Source organism: Homo sapiens, chromosome 14 (assembly GCF_000001405.40).
Source record: "Homo sapiens chromosome 14, GRCh38.p14 Primary Assembly".
In the NCBI taxonomy this organism is placed as follows: Eukaryota; Metazoa; Chordata; class Mammalia; order Primates; family Hominidae; genus Homo; species Homo sapiens.
Genome location: NC_000014.9, coordinates 53,566,319 through 53,583,965, shown reverse-complemented (window position 1 = coordinate 53,583,965; position 17,647 = coordinate 53,566,319). Strand labels below are relative to the sequence as shown.

The 17,647-nt window shown below is 38.5% G+C and overlaps 1 long non-coding RNA gene across 3 annotated transcripts in view, besides 1 other annotated feature; it reads right to left on the bottom strand.

The window, feature by feature from the left end:
* Positions 1–17,647, bottom strand: part of LOC105370504 (uncharacterized) — a 402,142-nt gene that overhangs the window by 138,828 nt on the left and 245,667 nt on the right. The gene's annotated exons all lie outside the window — the stretch shown is intronic.
* Positions 9,788–14,731: an enhancer, noted in NCBI's record as "VISTA enhancer hs1629". NCBI's record gives its function as "enhancer in: somite[11/11] | facial mesenchyme[11/11]" and the evidence as "EXISTENCE:transgenic organism evidence [ECO:0001131][PMID:17130149]".

Below are 17,647 nucleotides of genomic sequence, written 5' to 3'. Positions count from 1 at the left end.
TTTAAGCTGACATTTAAAATAATTTGGGAAACAATGCTAAGGCTTAATCTCTTTTACATCAAACCTCCTGTGAGATATGATTGTATAAATTCTCCCATCCCCCAATTTCTCCTCATTTAAGGCAGACCCGCTGAGAAGCAATGCAGAGGGTAGAATCAGTCTCCTTAAGAAAACAAATGAGATGATGTGCATTTTACATTTCTGCACTGAGGAGGTTTTAACCAACATCAACAACAGCAAACTCAACAAAATGGATTCTGCCAAATCATGAGCACACTGAGTCAATAGCAAATTTTTTAAAACTCCTATGTGCCAAAGTTTTAATCTTTGTCAAGCAATGCATTTTTAGGAAGGTAAAGAACAGATACTTCTATAGCCCTCAGTGGAAAATAATTTCTACTTAATGTGACTACTGCACTTACTGCAGACTCTACAAGAAATGGGTGTGAAACAAGAGGAGAAATTTTGAAATTGAGAAAAATGTGTTTTCCCAAAATTAACCATAAATGACTTTAATTATCATAGATTTGTTTGAAGAAGGAAATGAAAGAGCAGGAGAAAAAAAGCCTGATGATAAAAACAAAATCTCCCTTACCTCTTCATGGTAAATATTTAGCTTTTTATACAAATTTTTTAAAGAAAAACAAACAGAAATTCATGCTTTCTAAACTTAAAAGCAGTGGAAGAAATCACAAGTGGAAATAACTTTAAAAATTGACTACATAAGAATAGAAAACTTACATGCATCAAGGACAGATAGAAATAATTTGGCACAAATTTGACAAAAAGTTAATGCCACTACTGTGTGAAAAGCTCATGCAAGTTGATACAAACAACAACCAAAATCCCCTCCCCTCAAAAACTGGACAAAGGGTACATTTGGATGATCAGTGATGGAGAAATCAAAGTGAAGAAACATTTTTTAAAAGTTCATAACTTCCAGTCTGGTGACTATAGTTAACAATACTGTATTGTATACTTGAAATTTGGTAAGAAAGTAGATTTTAAATGTTCTCACCAAAAAAAAATTGATAACATGAGGTGATTAATATGTTAATTAGTTTGTGGTCATTATTTCACAATGTACAAATCTATCAAAACATCATGTTATATACTTTAAATATATAAGATGTTTATCAATTTTACCTCAATAAAGCTGGAGAAAAGTTCAACTTCACTAGCCAACAAATATTGCTAATTAAAGTAAAATGCTATGTTTCACCTATTAAATTGACAAAGATTAAAAAATGATAGTACTAATTTTAATGAATATACAGTGAGTTGGAAACTCTTAAACATTGCTAGCAAGAGTATAAATTAGTTTAGGACGGGTGCAGTGGCTCACACCTGTAATCCCAGCACTTTGGGAGGCTGAGGTGGGCAGATCACTTGAGGCCAGGAGTTTGAGACCAGCATGGCCAACATGGTGAAACCCCATCTCTATCAAAAAATACAAAAATTAGCAGCCGTGGTGGTGGGCACCTGTAATCCCAGCTACCATGGAGACTGAGGCAGGAGAATCACTTGAACCAGCGAGGTGGAGGTTGCAGTGAGCCAAGATCACACCACTGCACTCCAGCCTGGGTGACAGAGCGAGATTCTGTCTCAAAAAAAAAAAAAGGCGGGGGGGGGGGGGTATAAATTAGTTTAACCTTTCTGAAATCATTTCAACTACAAGCAAGAAGAATTTTTAAAACATCCATAATCTTGAACCCAGTACATTTATTTCAGGGTGCTTTCTCAAGGAAACAATCAAATAACTTCACAAAGATTTGGGTAGAAAAATATTTATTGTATTTTTTATATAATAGTGAAAAGCTGTAACATCTAAATTATAACAATAAATAAACAATGATGAATCATATGATCCAAAATTGTTACCAGAAAAAATACAGGGTTTGTTCATGGGGTAAGTAACAAACGACTCTCCACAAGAATGCAGGTTTTGATCTATAGGAGTTTTATTACTTGTCACAGGTAAGGAGAGCACTGAAAGGATTCTCCAAAGCAGCATCTCGCTGAGGGAAAGGGAGGAGAGGGTTTTATGGAGCAATGAAGAGGGTAGAGGGTACATCATTGCACATAGTGGAGGGGTCCCAGGGGCATGGACTCAGTCAGTCATCCTGCCAGCACATAGGGCACATGTTATGATAATAAAGCTGCATCTCCTCCTGGGGTGGAGACTTTGGCATGGTAATGAGGAAAGTTCATTCTGGTTCATCTATAAGTTGCCTGGGTCTGTCAGGACCTAGCTCCAGCCCACTAGGTTACCACATTCCACACAGGGTTAGGGAAAAAACAGGCTGCAAGGCAGGAGGCTGTAAAACAGGCTGATTGCTCGAGTTGATTAAATTCCTATAGTCCCTGGAGACCCTCCCTGTCTGCTTACATAATCATTAAAAACAGTGTTTTTCAGGAATAATTGATGACAATGGAAAATGCTGTCCTAGTAGGATACAAAACTGCATGTATAATATGACCACATTTTGGTTAAAATACATGCATAGAAGAAAAAAAAAGATAGGAAGGAAATGCAACAAACTTTCAACAAGGGATAAAGTAGAATTATAGTTTCATTTTTGTACTTGCATATTTTCTACATGTTTTATAATAAATATTTTATAATTTAAAAATTTCTGATTATGGAAAGACAAACCATTATGGATGCATTCTTGCCAGAGGGGTCAGTGGATATAAACTTGGCTTCAGAAAGGAGTCAGTAACTGCAAATATATTTAGATATAAATATATATATATTTCTACTATTTTTGAAATTCACAGCTCAAATTCTACCTGATCCATTAAGTGGTCCGTGGAAATTCCCCTAAGTATTCATACTCAAAGAAACCTCTCCCTTCAAAAATTCACACTTTATTTACATACATCTTCCTAAGAAATAATAAACATGGAGCTCCTGTCCTAAGACCCGTAGATGTGTTAATTAACTTTTTATTCCCACTTTACAGATGGGAAAAATGAGACACAGAGTGACTGAGCAATTTGCCTGGAATCACACAACTAATACGTGGTAGAGTGAGGACTCAAATATGGTTAGTATGGTTTCTATGCCATCCCTCTTTACTGAGTTTTAGTGTGTTCTACCTGTTAGGTCACCATTTTATGTGTGTTTTTCTCCCAAACAAGAGTGCAGTTGCTTTAGGGGCAAAGCATAAGACCTTGAACTTCTTCAACCTGTCCTTAAAAAAACTGAGGAAGTGAGCCATATAAATATGGACTTAATTGTATTAAAAACAAAACAAACAAGTCAAATGTCTTTACACATTCACTGAAAATCTCAGGAATACTTCAGAGATTAATATTATTGATTTTCAAGACTTGTTTCCTAAACAGATATCTATAAAAAGCAAACCATAGTGGGTCTATATAGCCATATGCTCTGGTCTTAATTTCCCTGATACAGTGACATAGAGACTAATAAAAAAAATTTTAATGAAAAAAATCAAGATGTTGTTATGAACTGCCTTTCACGTAAATCAATGTATTACCTGTGGAATTTGTTTGGACAAATGCAATTCAAAGGTAGGAAATGAGAAGGATGGAATGAAAGACCCTCCTTTTGTAGCACTTCCAGTAGGACAACATTTGAAAGTTTACATCTGTTGGATCCCATCTGTCCCTCTAAATCCCAAGTGTGTAAATAGCACAGTGCCCAGCACTTGGTAGGTACACCATGGATGTTAAACTCTTGGTTCCTTTTATTGTACCTTAGGCTTGGCCTAATGTAAGAACCTTCTCTCCCCAAAAACTCTTTAAGCCCATTCCCCACTTTAATTCGGTCCTTTCTGTCCTGACTTGTGAGTATCTTCTACATAAGCAGATTCCCCTATTGAAGAATATTTTGTCACGGTGTCTTCTGCCCTGATTGTTTACTACAGCAATCAAACTGTAGCTTCTGTACTGGAGCTTCTACTGGCAGGGGGAATCTTCAGGTTGCTCAGCAGCTTGGCCCCTTCTACTTAACCATGTCTGCCTCCTCTAGCCAGGCCTCTCAAACTCCTTTGTGAGTGATTCCCCTCCATTTCTCAGATTGCTTTATATACCCAAGTGTTTATATCTGCAAGGGACGGAGAACTATTTCCTTATCTGCCAAAGTGCATCTCCACCATATTTTCATTTTCTTCAAGGAGTTTTGAGATGTGAACCCTAGACTAGGATTTGGAAAACCTGGTTTCTAGTATCTACTGAAGGAAATCACTTAACCTCTGTTTCATTTCCAAACAGGGAATAAAGATCCCCATTGGAATTATGTGAATGAAAATATAAATGCATATATGCAAATTCAAACAATTTCAAAACCATTAGTTGAATCATAGTATGAGTTAATCTTATGGCCAATCAAAATTTACCTGCAAATGGCCAAATCCATTATATTCAAATTTAAAAAACCTTTTAGTGCTACTCAAAACATTTAAGAGTATTGTCCTAAAAAGAAAAAGGCTGTAATAGGTCTTTGAAGTAAGAACTGGTTCTGCTGCCTTTCTCCCCCATTCCACCCCCTTCAAAGCCATCAAAGCAATGTTCTTAAAGTGTGAATGTCTTACAAGAAGCCTCTAATGGATTCACCCTTCACTCTGTTTCTCACTAATCAGAGGTAACCTGACTTTTACATTCCTAATTATGCCTCTTTCAAAGAGCATTAAGGCTAATATTGGTTTTAAATGGCCCTAAACGCATCTCTGCTTTTGACCTGGGCTGCTTTGACCAACATACATCTTGATATTAGAGCAATCCGAAGGACAGTATGTCCTAAGGGCATCTAGCCAATAGGATTGTTTTCAGGGTCACTTCCCTTTCTTTTTCCCTAACCACCTGCAAGCTGTTCCCTAAATGGTTGATTCCCTTAGTTCTCTCCCAGAAGAATCCAAAGTTTTTCAAAGACTCAGCATTGTCTACAAGAGCGAATTTCAAATCGAACGCAATTTTTAAAAATCCTCAGAGACTATTGTAAAACATGAAGATCCCTGGGCCCCACAGCCTAGATATTTTAATCTCATTGGTTGAGGTGAAGCTGCGAGTGTATGTTTTAAATGAGCAGCCTCCAGTTCAGCTGTAGGTGATCTGCACTTGGAAAAACTGTTCTACAGAATAATGTATATTTCAGGCCCAGAGAACTTCCTGGGCTTATGTCCCATATTAACTCCCATCCTCAAAGTTCACTCACACACTAGTTAGGCCAAGATCTAGCCTCTGTGCTCTTCTTTTCTCTCAGTTTTGAGTGTCCTTCCCCATCCCCCTGCCACATGAAATCTGTATGTTTTCAAGGTTGTGCACAGACACTGGCTCTGATGTCTGCCCTAAGATCCCATTTGGAGCTCTCTCCTTGAAGTTTCAGCAGAATCCTTTTTTTTTTTTCTTTTTTTTTTTCTGAGACGAAGTTTCGCTCTGTCTCCCAGGCTGAAGTGCAGTGGCACGATCTCCGCTCACTGCAAGCTCCACCTCCTGGGTTCACGCCATTCTCCTGCCTCAGCCTCCCAAGTAGCTGGGACTACGGGCGCCTGCCACCACGCCCGGCTAATTTTTTTGTATTTTTAGTAGAGACGGGTTTTCACCGTGTTAGCCAGGATGGTCTCGATTTCCTGACCTCGTGATCCCCCCGCCTCGGCCTCCAGAAGTGCTGGGATTACAGGCGTCAGCCACTGCGTCCAGCCAGCAGAACCCATTTTTTATGTCATTTGTCCCTCATCAAAACAGTTCTTGTATTGCATTTATTTTTTAGCCAATCAGTGTTTGCTATTAAACTGTTTTTTTTTACACTATCAGTGTTCACTATTATACTTAAAGGTAAGTATTATATTTGATTTATCTTTTAATCTTAGAGAGGGCTGTGAACACAGTAGCTGCTGAATACATGTGTATAAAATTAAACCTACTTAAATTATGTCTATCAGATGTATTTAAGGTTAGTTAAGCACCTCTCCTGTCTTCCCTCAGATAGCTGAAGTAGAAAGCATCTCTGACCTGGATGTAATACACAGCCCAACCAGCCAGAAATAAATGTTGTATGACTGCCTTCTGACCTGGCTGCTTACCTTATTTATCAATTTGAGCTCCAGAATCTTGCCCATAATAGATAAGTTATAATTACAAGTATCTAAATATAAAAATATTCAGAATTGTTCTTTAATGAGAAACCTTATAAAGGTATAAAAATATTAACTCAGAAATTAAATAATCCAATAATCAGAAAACTATGCTCATCAAATTAGCAAAAAAGAAAACTGAAAAGATTGATAACACTGTATATTACTAAGCAGATGGGGAACTGGGCACTCACATATGTGGTAAGAATACTGTAAACCAGAAGAACAGTTTTGGAGTACAATCTGACAGTTTCTATTCACATGTAAAGTGACCCAGAAATTCTACTGTTTTTGTGGTCTTTCCTAGAGAAACACAAATACGCAGAAAAATGCATAAAAATATTCATTGCAGCATTGAATGTAATAGCAAAAGTTCCACCAATAAGGGAATGGATAAATTAATGTCGGTATGGTCACACTATAGGATATTATACAGTAGTTAATAATAAGAAGCATCTACATATACATTATGAAAAGATCTTTCATATATCTTTGAGTTTAAAATAAAAGTTGCAGAATCTATATTGTAGAATACTAGATACTTACTTTTTAAAATGTGGCCCTAAGAGTTGATAAAATAATATCTACACTTAACTGCAATTGAAAAAGTAAACATATGTTTAAAAAGGTATGGAAGGCTGGGCACAGTGGCTCCCTCCTATAATTTCAACACTTTGGGGGGTTGAGGTGGGAGGACTGCTTGAGCCAGGGGTTCAAGACCAGCCTGAGCAACATAGGGAGATCCTCATCTCCAAAAAAACTTTGAAAACTTAGCCAGATGTCGTGGCACACACCTGTAGTCCCAGCTACTTTGGAGGCTGAGGTGGAAAGATTGCTTGCACCCAGGTCAGGGCTGCAGTGAGTCGTGATTGCACCATGGCACTCTAGCCTGGGTGACAGAGTGAGATTCATTCTCAAGAAAAAAAAGAAAAGAAAGAAAAAGGTGAGGAAGAATATGACACAAATGGAGGACATGAGTTACCCCTCCTAAGGAGGTGACTGTTACTGATATGGTGGATATGGAAGAGTCTGAGTGTATTTTAAATAAATTTGTATCATATGTTACGTATGTTAAGGAAATGTCTTATATGAATGATTTGTGCTATGAAATGACAAATACATTCTACTTCATATTTAGTATAGTAGAATACTGTATTATATGGTTAGCTTACTATACAGACATGATGTAGTTAGCATAAAGCTGCAGTTTTCGAAGTATGTGCAGTTTCTGATTGTAAGTCCCAATTCTTTTCACAAAAGACTGACACAAACACTTAACTAGTCTGTTGAAAACAGAAATCTGTATTTGGTGTAGTTATGCTCATTTTCTTCCTGTTCCCATGGGTTCTCTTCTCAATGTTCTCATGCCTGCATGCTGCACTTGTCCTGTATTATTATCCTCCTATCCCAGGATTAATGACAAATTACAAAAGTCCTTATTCTCTGCATCTACATACCCATTGCTTTGCTAATGAACCAGGAATGGCTGCACAGTACTGCAGCTCTCTGTCTCTCACTAACATGAGCTGCAGGTAATGCTTCTGAATGCAGTGTTCTCTGCACATGGTGAGGAAGAGAGGAATATTTTAAACTCTCTGTGCCTGGAAACGACACCAGGATTGGGAGTTAAAGCTTTCCTTTTGCTCCTACCTCTCAACAGAAACATAGATGCCAAGATATTCCCTGTTTTTGTAAGGCCTGAGGCAGATACAATTCTGGAAAGCCCTATTTTGGAAAAAAAATTAGAAATTTACAAGTAAAAATTGCCAGAGTCCCTCCCAGGTCCCTGGAAGGAACATGCAAGTACAGGGACCTGAACTTTAAGCTTCATTAGCTTCTTGCTAAGTCTCTTCTGCTCAATGTGTAATATCAGTAAATGTGCACCTAGGCCAAGAGTGCAGGGGTGCTTTCATCGTTTCATTTCCACTCTCAGGTGAGTTGCACAAGGGTATGTATGCTAAACATACTCAGGGTATGTTTAGGCATTAAGTCCTGATGATGATGGTGAAAAGAATGGTGACAAACTGAGTTACATGAACACATATTCTGCCCTAGATTATTTTAAGATTAAAATGTACATCCTGTAGGTCATTGATAATAAAAACCAAATCCCATTATGGCACTAAAAGTGTAATGGACTGAATGTTTGTGTCCCCCGCAAAATTTATATATTGAAATTCTAACTCCCAAGATGACGGTATTAGAAAGTGTGGCCTTTGGGAAGTAATCAGGTCATAAGGGCTCCACCCTCATGAGTAGTACTAGTGCCCTTGTAAAAGAGGCCCCAGGGAGCTCATTTACTCCTTCTGCCACATGAGGTTAGAGTGATAAGACTATTGTCTTTGAGGGAGCGAGGCCTCATCTGTCACCAAATTTGTCGATGCCTTGATCTTGGACTTCCCAGCTGCCAGAACCATGAACAATAAATTTCTATTGTTTGTGAGCCACCCAGTTTATGGTATTTTTTTTTTACGGCAGCCTGAATGGACTAGGACAAAAAGAAAAAAGAAGTAAAAAACCCTTTCTTTCAAGGACCCGCAAACTTCATGTGTATAGGTAGTTTCCATTTTATGACAAAACTTCAGACAAAACTATTTCAAACAAGATAGGAGTCATATTATTTGTAGGACTTTATCAATACAAATTTTACAAATGTTTTAGTTGACAAACTTTTAAATTTTAGATTATTTATAGAAAGTAGAAAATTCTCCCTTTACATTATAAGTGTGATTAATGAAGTTAGTTAGTGGCATTCACAGCACCCCATGCTTCAGGGTCCTCTGAAGTCCTCTGAAAATCATGGGCAATAGAAATAGTATTTTTGATTTGGTTTAAGGAAAGCTGCTTATGTCTGAGAGTATTGTTTCATAACAGTGCGTTCACATAACAATGAGCCTTCACATTATCATAAAGTAATAGAGATGAAGGAAAAGGGGGCTCGAAATACACTAAAAACCCACAAAAATAGCTGTGAGAGTTTGAGAAAAACCTAAAATTTAATAGCACACCTCCTTTTTAATATTAAGTGGGGAAATTTAGGCAAATTTTAAAGCTCTTCTTCTCATTGTATTTACAAAATCATTTCCTAACCCAGTCTTTAACAATCATAATCACCATCATCATCATGATGATAGCTACAATTTCCAGGAACTTCCACTCTGGTCAGTCATGCTACTGAACACTACATGCATCAATGCAATCCTTGTATGAGATAGATGAGATCCCACAAAGATACATGTTCCTAAAGGACAATCTTGAGAACTATGCCCTAACTGAACAGTTGCCACCCTTCCGCTTTCCTGCTGTGTCAGTTAGGATCTTTCAGTTACAAGTGCCAGGAAACCTTAAAATGAGATTTTTAAAAAATTCCATTTGACTAAAAGTTCCAGTAGGATTGCCTTCAACAGAAGCTTGATGAAGCAGCTCACTCCATGTAACAAGAAATTTTTTTTTACTGTTTTACCATGCCATTTCCTCAATGTCAGTTTCACAAGGTGCTCTAGGTTCTTCCCCTTAAAATTAAAAAAAAAAAAAAAAATAACTGGTAGGTTCTCAAACATAGCACATTGAATAGCAGCATCCCCATAAGCCCTTGGACTCAATCTCATTGGCCCACATTACTCATCATATGCCCATCATATACCATCACTGTCACCAAGGAACAGATGGAATAAGGTGATTGACTTAAGCTGACTCTTTGGGTTCATATGATATGATATTCATCTCATAGATGAGAATAGAATAGGAGTAACTTCCCCAAAAGGAAAATCTTGGTGCTATTGGCAGAAAAGGGGGAGAATAGAGGCTGGGGGAGAGGGGTATCAGCCCAAAAAATAAGTACACTATACATACTACTATACATGTCCACTGCTAAGTGTTATTCCCATATAAGAATCTAAAACTTTGATGTAGCATCTGTTTACAAGTATTCAACTAAAAATAATAAACAAAACTATTGGTTTCCCATTCTCTCTCTCCTCCTTGAATAAGAGGGAGCAGTTTGATCATTATCTGCAATTTAGAAAATCCTACTAAAACATATTTAAATAATTACTGCATATATGGATTTCCTTTCCTATGAGAAAACTATGGTGACCTAATGACCATAGGATCCAAAATCCCCCCTAAAGCAAAGACCAAATCTATGTGAGAGAGAAATGGGGATCAAAATAATGACCCAAACAATAGAGCTTTAGTGTTCTTTGTTCTTCTCATTCTTTTTTTTTTTTTTTTTGAGACGAAGTCTTGCTTTTGGCCCCCAGGCTGGAGTGCGATGGCGTGATCTCAGCTCACTGCAACCTCTGCCTCCCAGGTTCAAGCAATTCTCCTGCCTCGATCCCCCGAGTAGCTGAGATTACAGGAGCCTGCCACCATGCCCGGCTAATTTTTGTATTTTTAGTAGAGACGGGTTTCACTATGTTGGCCAGTCTGGTCTAGAACTCCTGACCTCAGGTGATCTACCCGCCTCGGCCTCCCAAAGTGCTGGGATTACAGGTGTGAGCCACGGCGCCTGGCCAGCGTTCTTCTCATTCTTCATAGAGATCTCCACGTCAATCAAACTGCTTATACCCATGCATGACTTCATTATATGTATTTTTAAATGTTCTTATACAAATATTTTTATCCCTTCATCAAGATTTTATTGGATTGCCAAAAACATAACTATATTTGGAATTATTCAAATATTGTGAAAAAATTAAAATGTGTTAAATCTTAATACATCTGAGTTCAAGATTGTTATATTTATTGCTAATAACATAACCCAAGTTATGAGACCAAGATAGGATACTGTGTCGTGTATATTGCTGAACGAGTTATGGGTCTGAATTTTCACCACACTTCACAATAAAAAATGTTAGACTTGAGGAAATAACAAAAAAGTAAAAGAAGTTTTCTTTTCTCTATGTTAACAGAAGTCTTATTTGGAATATTCTTTATAGTAGTAGTCAGCTTACCACAAAAAGTGCTGTTCAACTTGCATTTAAAAGGAATGGTGGAAAATGGACTGGGAAGAAAGAAATTTGAGTTCCAGTATAAGCTCTGTGGCTAACCAGCTGTGAGACCTTGGGCAAGTCACTATACATCTCTGTTTCACATTCCTCATTTGCACAATGAATAGGTTGGTAGAGATTGTCTTTACAAGTTCCCAACCCTGAACGTCTTTGAGTTTGGTGAAATAAGCATACCAGACTGGGAGCTCAGTTTACCTACACATCCAAAATGGAACATTACTGTCCAACTCCCCTCTTGGGATGTTAATATCGAGTGATAGAGACAGAAAGTTTGGAGGATAATTCTGGGTTTTACAAACAAATTTCTGAGTACTTCTTTAATTTGCGATTACCTTAAGTAAGCAATTCCCTTTACATTTTTATTCAAAAATAACAAGCTGTGTTTGAAATGCCAGTATACACCATTTACTACGCTCTCCAACCCAAACACAAAAACATTTTTACTTATGTTATGACTTCACCTGGTGGCTTTCATTTTCCCCAACATAAAGACAGGGTGAAGCAAAGTAATAGAAAAATAGAAAACATCTTTGTCGGAAAATGAGATTGCAGCTGTGTAACTGGAGCACACAACCATAAATCAGAATGTCAAATCCAAAACACATGACTTTTTGCAAGTTCCCCATGTGCGCTCTAATGTGATTACAGCCTGGTTGCTATTATGATTTAAAACAAAGTCTTTCATGCTAGAAACAAAATGCGGAATGTGAGCCGCCTGGGGGAGAGAGCTGCAAGCTAGCTAGTGACATACCCCTTGCTGTCATTGAGGTGGGCTACAGTATTTCAAGTACTGGTTTGTCAGGTGTGAGAGAGCAAGAGGATACAAGAGGAACCTTGGCAGAGGTCTTAACATGAGGGACAAATTAGCCAGCAGTGTTCAGCTCAGCTTGACAATCTGAAATTAGCTTCTTTCTTCCCCCTCCCCATATTTTTTTCCCCTAAGCAGAATCCTGCAGCCAAACAGAAAGATTACAGAAGTCATTCTTTCCTGCCTATCACATAAACAAATGGCCCAGCTGTTATTGCTAAGATTCCAGTTTTAAACTTGGACTTTCTTGTATAAACTTCAATGTAATGGTATTTAAAGTGTCATAGGCAATAAGCATCTAATCCTACTCAATAAATTGTAGGCTCGTTGCATGAACTCCTAGAGCTGTTAAAGACAGCTGTGCTTTTTTTGTAATTTAAGTCATTTCCAAATTGGGCAGTTCTCCAGGTGTATTTTCAGACAAACAATGTGTGCTAGAAAAAGTAATGTTCTGATTCTTTCAGCAATGGAATAAACACAAAGAAGTAAAAGCTGAGGTATAACACAATGAAAATATCATTCCTGATCACCCCAGGAGGGCAGGCATCAAGGTAGGGGTGCTAGGAAATTGCCCTTGTTTCCTTTGACTATTAAAGTATGAGCCAGGACATTCTCCCCTCAAGGACCTTTTGCCAGGCCCATCACTTTTGTAACTGGTCTTTGGGTCAATGCCATAGACGAGTACCAGGATAGAGGATAAAAAGTTAGTACGTATCAAAATAGAACCATCAACTTGAAGAACAAAAATACAAGCCTCAAATGGAAAAAGCTCCTCCCATAGCTGATATTTAAAGGGTCCGGACAAAACAGTTTGCACTTCTGTAATGCCATTGAAAAAAGTCATCATAGGCCCATAGGATAAGAGGGAATTGACAAGAGGTTATTTCATCCAGCTGACTGTCTCTAAGAAGACCCACAACGGAAGAATTTCAAGCAGATTAGTTGGTAATTAATTTATATCCAAATTATCATTAAGCATTAAATGAATCCTCTTCCAGTACAAAAAACCTCTGAGTAGACAGGGCACTTTCTATATCCACCCCAAGTTGAGAGTATTCGACAGTCAACTGATAGACCTGAGTAGGAAGCAGCCCAAGCTCTTCCTAACTATGGTTTGATGATGGTGAGTCATTTTCACAGAGGCCATTGCAAAGTTTGCCTCCTGTAGCTGATTCTGCAGCACAGGAGTGCTGCTATTGTTGTTTCATTTGGTGTCTTATCATCAACAGTTGGTTTGTGCCTACAATCTTACCCCGTCTTGTTCTACACTGTTATGAGATACTGTGCATTATCTTTTCGGCTAAACACATGTGATATCTACCTCATAATTGACAATGCAGAGTAAACAGAGAAAAGCACAGAGAAAACAAATCCCAGACCTAGAGCCCACAGTGTAGTTCCCCTGAGTCCTCTGTGGTGGGTTGAACTTAATCACAGAAAGAGTAGGCCTGAAATGAATCAACACCTCTTTCAGTTGCTGGAACGTAACACAAGCACACAGGTGGAGGGAGTTTCAGGCAATGACTCAGGATTACTTTTGGCCTAGGTGGACAACTGGACAGCTAAACACAGTCCCAAAACTCAGCAATCGCTTTCTGGATTCTTACCTCCCCACAACCCCAAAAATGACAGCTCCACTTGCATTTCTACTGAAGCTTTGAAGTTAAGCCTCCATAATTAGAACTCCCCTGGGATTGAGATAGTATTCCTACTGTTCCCCTTTGAGAAATGACAGCTTAGACCTGTCACCTTAGGGGAACACTTTACCTCAGGCAAAAGCAATGGTCCACTTGTTTCTAGTCCCAGAGAGCAAAACTCCTCAGGCTTCGTTCATTTTTGAGGGGAAACTCTACAGCTCTGCGTACATTAAAGACCTAACCAAAAAATGTCTAGAAACAACTAATCTCTCAGTGTCACTTCAAACAAGTATAGCATACCAGGCACATGATATTTATCAAACAACATAGACCCTCAGCTAGCCAATGCATTGAGTCCCATTTCTCTTGTTTAAGAAGTCTCTAAAAGCCTACAAAAATATTGTCAAAGTTATATATATAGTATTCAGAATTTTGTTCTGAAGGCAATTAACCCAATACTACAGGTAGCATTTTTCAATATATATAACCCCCACTAAAAACTGTTTGGTTTTCATGAAAGTGTCTTGAAAGGGAGGACATGCCCCATAGAATGGAATGGTGGGTTGTTGGTTTTTGCTTTTTTTTTTAAGCTAAAAGCTGGAGAATGAAATTATTGAAACCATCTTCTGTTCTACTTTAATTTTCACCAGCTTTTTGCTAGTTTACTTTAACAAGTAATGTTTGATTGAATTCAGGCCTGCTTTTGTTTACAAAATGAACGAGAGCCAGCAAGTCGTGGCCTGGCTAATTTGCACATCCACTGCCTTGGTCTCCTCCCCTTTAAACAAAAATCTGGAGTTTGTGATTTATTGTTGATTTGGTTAGCTCAAATGATTTTGATGGCTAAAATCTACCTTCCACCCCATCCTTGAAATTTTCTCCAAAAGCACCCACTCTATTTTTACCATACAAGGCAGACTTGACACTCCTACTCCCCCAACAAAAAAAAAAAAAAAGGAAAAAAAAGAAAAACACATCTTAACTCCCAAGATTTCAGATGCCAATGAATGAAGCTGAAAATAAAAATCCACAGACGGGAGAAGAGGAAAGCAAGATCCTCTACATCTATAGCTTTAGAAATGAAACTGGTCCATTCAGAAGAATAATATCCTGACAGCAAAGCAAAATGGTAATTGTTGATAACAAATCTCTTTGAGGCTTTGTGAGACATCCTTGTTTGACAATCAGGTAGACCAGATGTTTTCAGATTTGGCAGCCCCTCAGAATCACCTTGGAAGCCCTATTCTTAAGTATCCTCCTTTAAAAAGTCTGATTTTAAAAGTCTAGGGGCCAGGTGCAGTGGCTCACGCCTGTAATCCCAGCACTTTGGGAGGCCAAGGCAGGTGGATTATGAGATCAGGAGATTGAGGCCACCCTGGCTAACATGGTGAAACCCCCTCTCTACTAAAAATATAAAAAATTAGCCGGGCGTGGTGGCAGGCACCTGTAGTCCCAGCTACTCGGGAGGCTGAGGCAGGTGAGTGGCGTGAACCCGGGAGGCAGAGGTTACAGTGAGCCGAGATCGCGCCACTGCACTCCAGCCTGGGCAACAGAGTGAGACTCTGTCTCAGAAAAAAAAAGAAAGATAAAAAAAAGTCTAGGGTAGAATCTGTACGTTCACAAAGTACCCTCAAATGGTTCTGGAGGTCCACCAAGCTTTGAAACATTAAGTATAGTCTTTATTCATGTTTAATGTTACCCTGTCCAGCCAATTTAATCTCTTTCTCTGCTTGAATTCTCCAGTTGCAATCTGGAGGTCACATAGGATAAGTATGCTGTGAAACTGGTGTGTGGTTCCCTGTATAGTCAGGAGAGGGGAGGTGAGGGGCAATGCTCCTCGTCATTCAGGCACAAAATCCACACACATGTTTCTGTAGGGGCTACTTCAGCAAGATCACTACCTAATGCTAAAAATCATTTGACTCTCACATGCCTACCATCTATTCATAACGTTTCACCTCCATTCAGCCATCTATTCTCCTAACAGCAAGGCAAAATTCACTCCCAGCCCCCTCTATCCCCATGCAATCAGCTGCCTTTTGGTGATTTGCCCTCTTCCCTCAGGCTATTTAAACATAATCTCGTTTAAAGTAAAAATTAAATTTACCCAATGGTACAGGTATTGAGGCAATGACTAGTCACTCTGACAGGGAAGAAACCATACCCATCTTGCTTATCCCTGCAATCCAACTGAATAATAGGAAATTCAGTTCCAACACCTATCTACCCAGAGTTAGGTCAATTCCAACACCTACCTACCCAAAGTTAGGTCAAATTTCACAGGTTAAAAGCAGAGTCCTCCATAAGATTCTCCTCTTCTCAGACACCAGCCATAAGCTCTGGGGTTCCCAGGCCACCTGCATTTCTAACTGGCTACAAATTCTGGGGTTCTCACTACTCCCTTGGTACTGTAATTCATTTTAACAACTCACAAAACTCAGAATAGCACCATATTTATAACTACAGTTTTATATAAAAGATACAAATTGGGACCAACAATGAAAAGACACATGGGGTGAGGTGTGGGAGGGTCCCAGATACAGAGCTTCCACATCTTCAGGACACATCACCCTCCCAGCATATCAATGTGCATCACTAACCGGGAAGTTCAACTGAGCTCCAGGTGTCCATAGTTCTTATTGGGGTTTCATTATATAGACATGATTGATATTAGTACATGATTGAACTCCATCTCTAAGGCTCCTCCCCTCCCCACAGGTTAGCCTGACATCACACAGATCAAACCGCAATGCTCTAATCACACGATTGGTCCTTCCAGAGTAGCCAGTCCCCATTCTAAGTCATCTCATTAGCATAAACTCAGTCATGGTCAAGGAGAGGGCATCCATGAATAACAAAGACATTCCCCTCACTCAGAAAATACTTTAGACTTAGAGGTTACCTCCCAGGGACCAAAGTTTAACCAAATTCCTTACTATACAACAGGTCTCTACTTGAATATGACTGTTCTTATTGTCCTCAGACCATAAACAGTACCAGGTCAGCTCCTTTGCTAAACAGGCCTTAGCTCTCTGCTTCTGCCTTTTGATACACTCATCGTACTCATAATCACTTGCTCTTCATCTCCCCTCCTTAAGCTTAAGGTCAAGAACCATGTCTGTCATATTCACTACACTTCACCAGTTCCTCACACTAGTTAAGGAACATAGTTAATATAATCAAATATTTGTTGTTAGGTAAATTCTATCTCCATGCCTTTATTCATAGGTGTGAAAATGACATTTACAAACATAAAGCTAGCACCAGGCACACAGTAGCTACAGTAAAAACAGGTATGTATATAAATAAGATAACCAGGAAACCCCCCAATCATTGAAAAAACCTTTGGAATAGATTTGAAATATCCTTCATCTCAAATCCTGTTGTGTCTACCAGAGTCCTGGGAAAATGTGAATCAACAGGCACAAAATAACAGGACTTCTATATTTTTCATCCTGAAGGTGCTGATAATGGTGATGGGGGAAGGGAGACATTGATTGATTTTCTTCTTTATTCAACTTCTAGTTGAGTTTCATTAACCTTTTAGCAAACAATGATGTTCTAAACAAGCAAAGTGTTTCTTCGAAGTTTATTCCCCCCTAAATACGTGGTAATAGTATTTGAAAGTGGATTTCTATTTCAATTGCCACCCAAGCATCCTTTTCTCTAGCCTGTCACCAAAAAAAAAGATTATACATAATATGATTTTTTTTTAAAAAAGTGGAATTCAAAATTTAAATTTGCAATGAAAAACACAATCATCTTAGTTCAGTCAATAAAAAGATAGAAAGTGAGCCTGAGTATTTTGATCCACCCACTTACTGCAAAGTTCCACATAACTTTGACTTTCAGATGAAAATATTTTCAATAAACATTGGTAGAATCAAACTGAAATCTGATTCCTCATTTGTCTAAGTCATGTTCTCCAGCAATTCTGGGTTGTAAACTCAATGGTAGGAAGTAGAGCTTATGGAATGTCATAGCTGGAAGCAATATGCATAATCAGAAAACAGAGATCCATAGAGGACAAATAACTAGCTCTACTTTCCACACCAAGTTAATGGCAGAGATGGGACCAGAATCCCATCT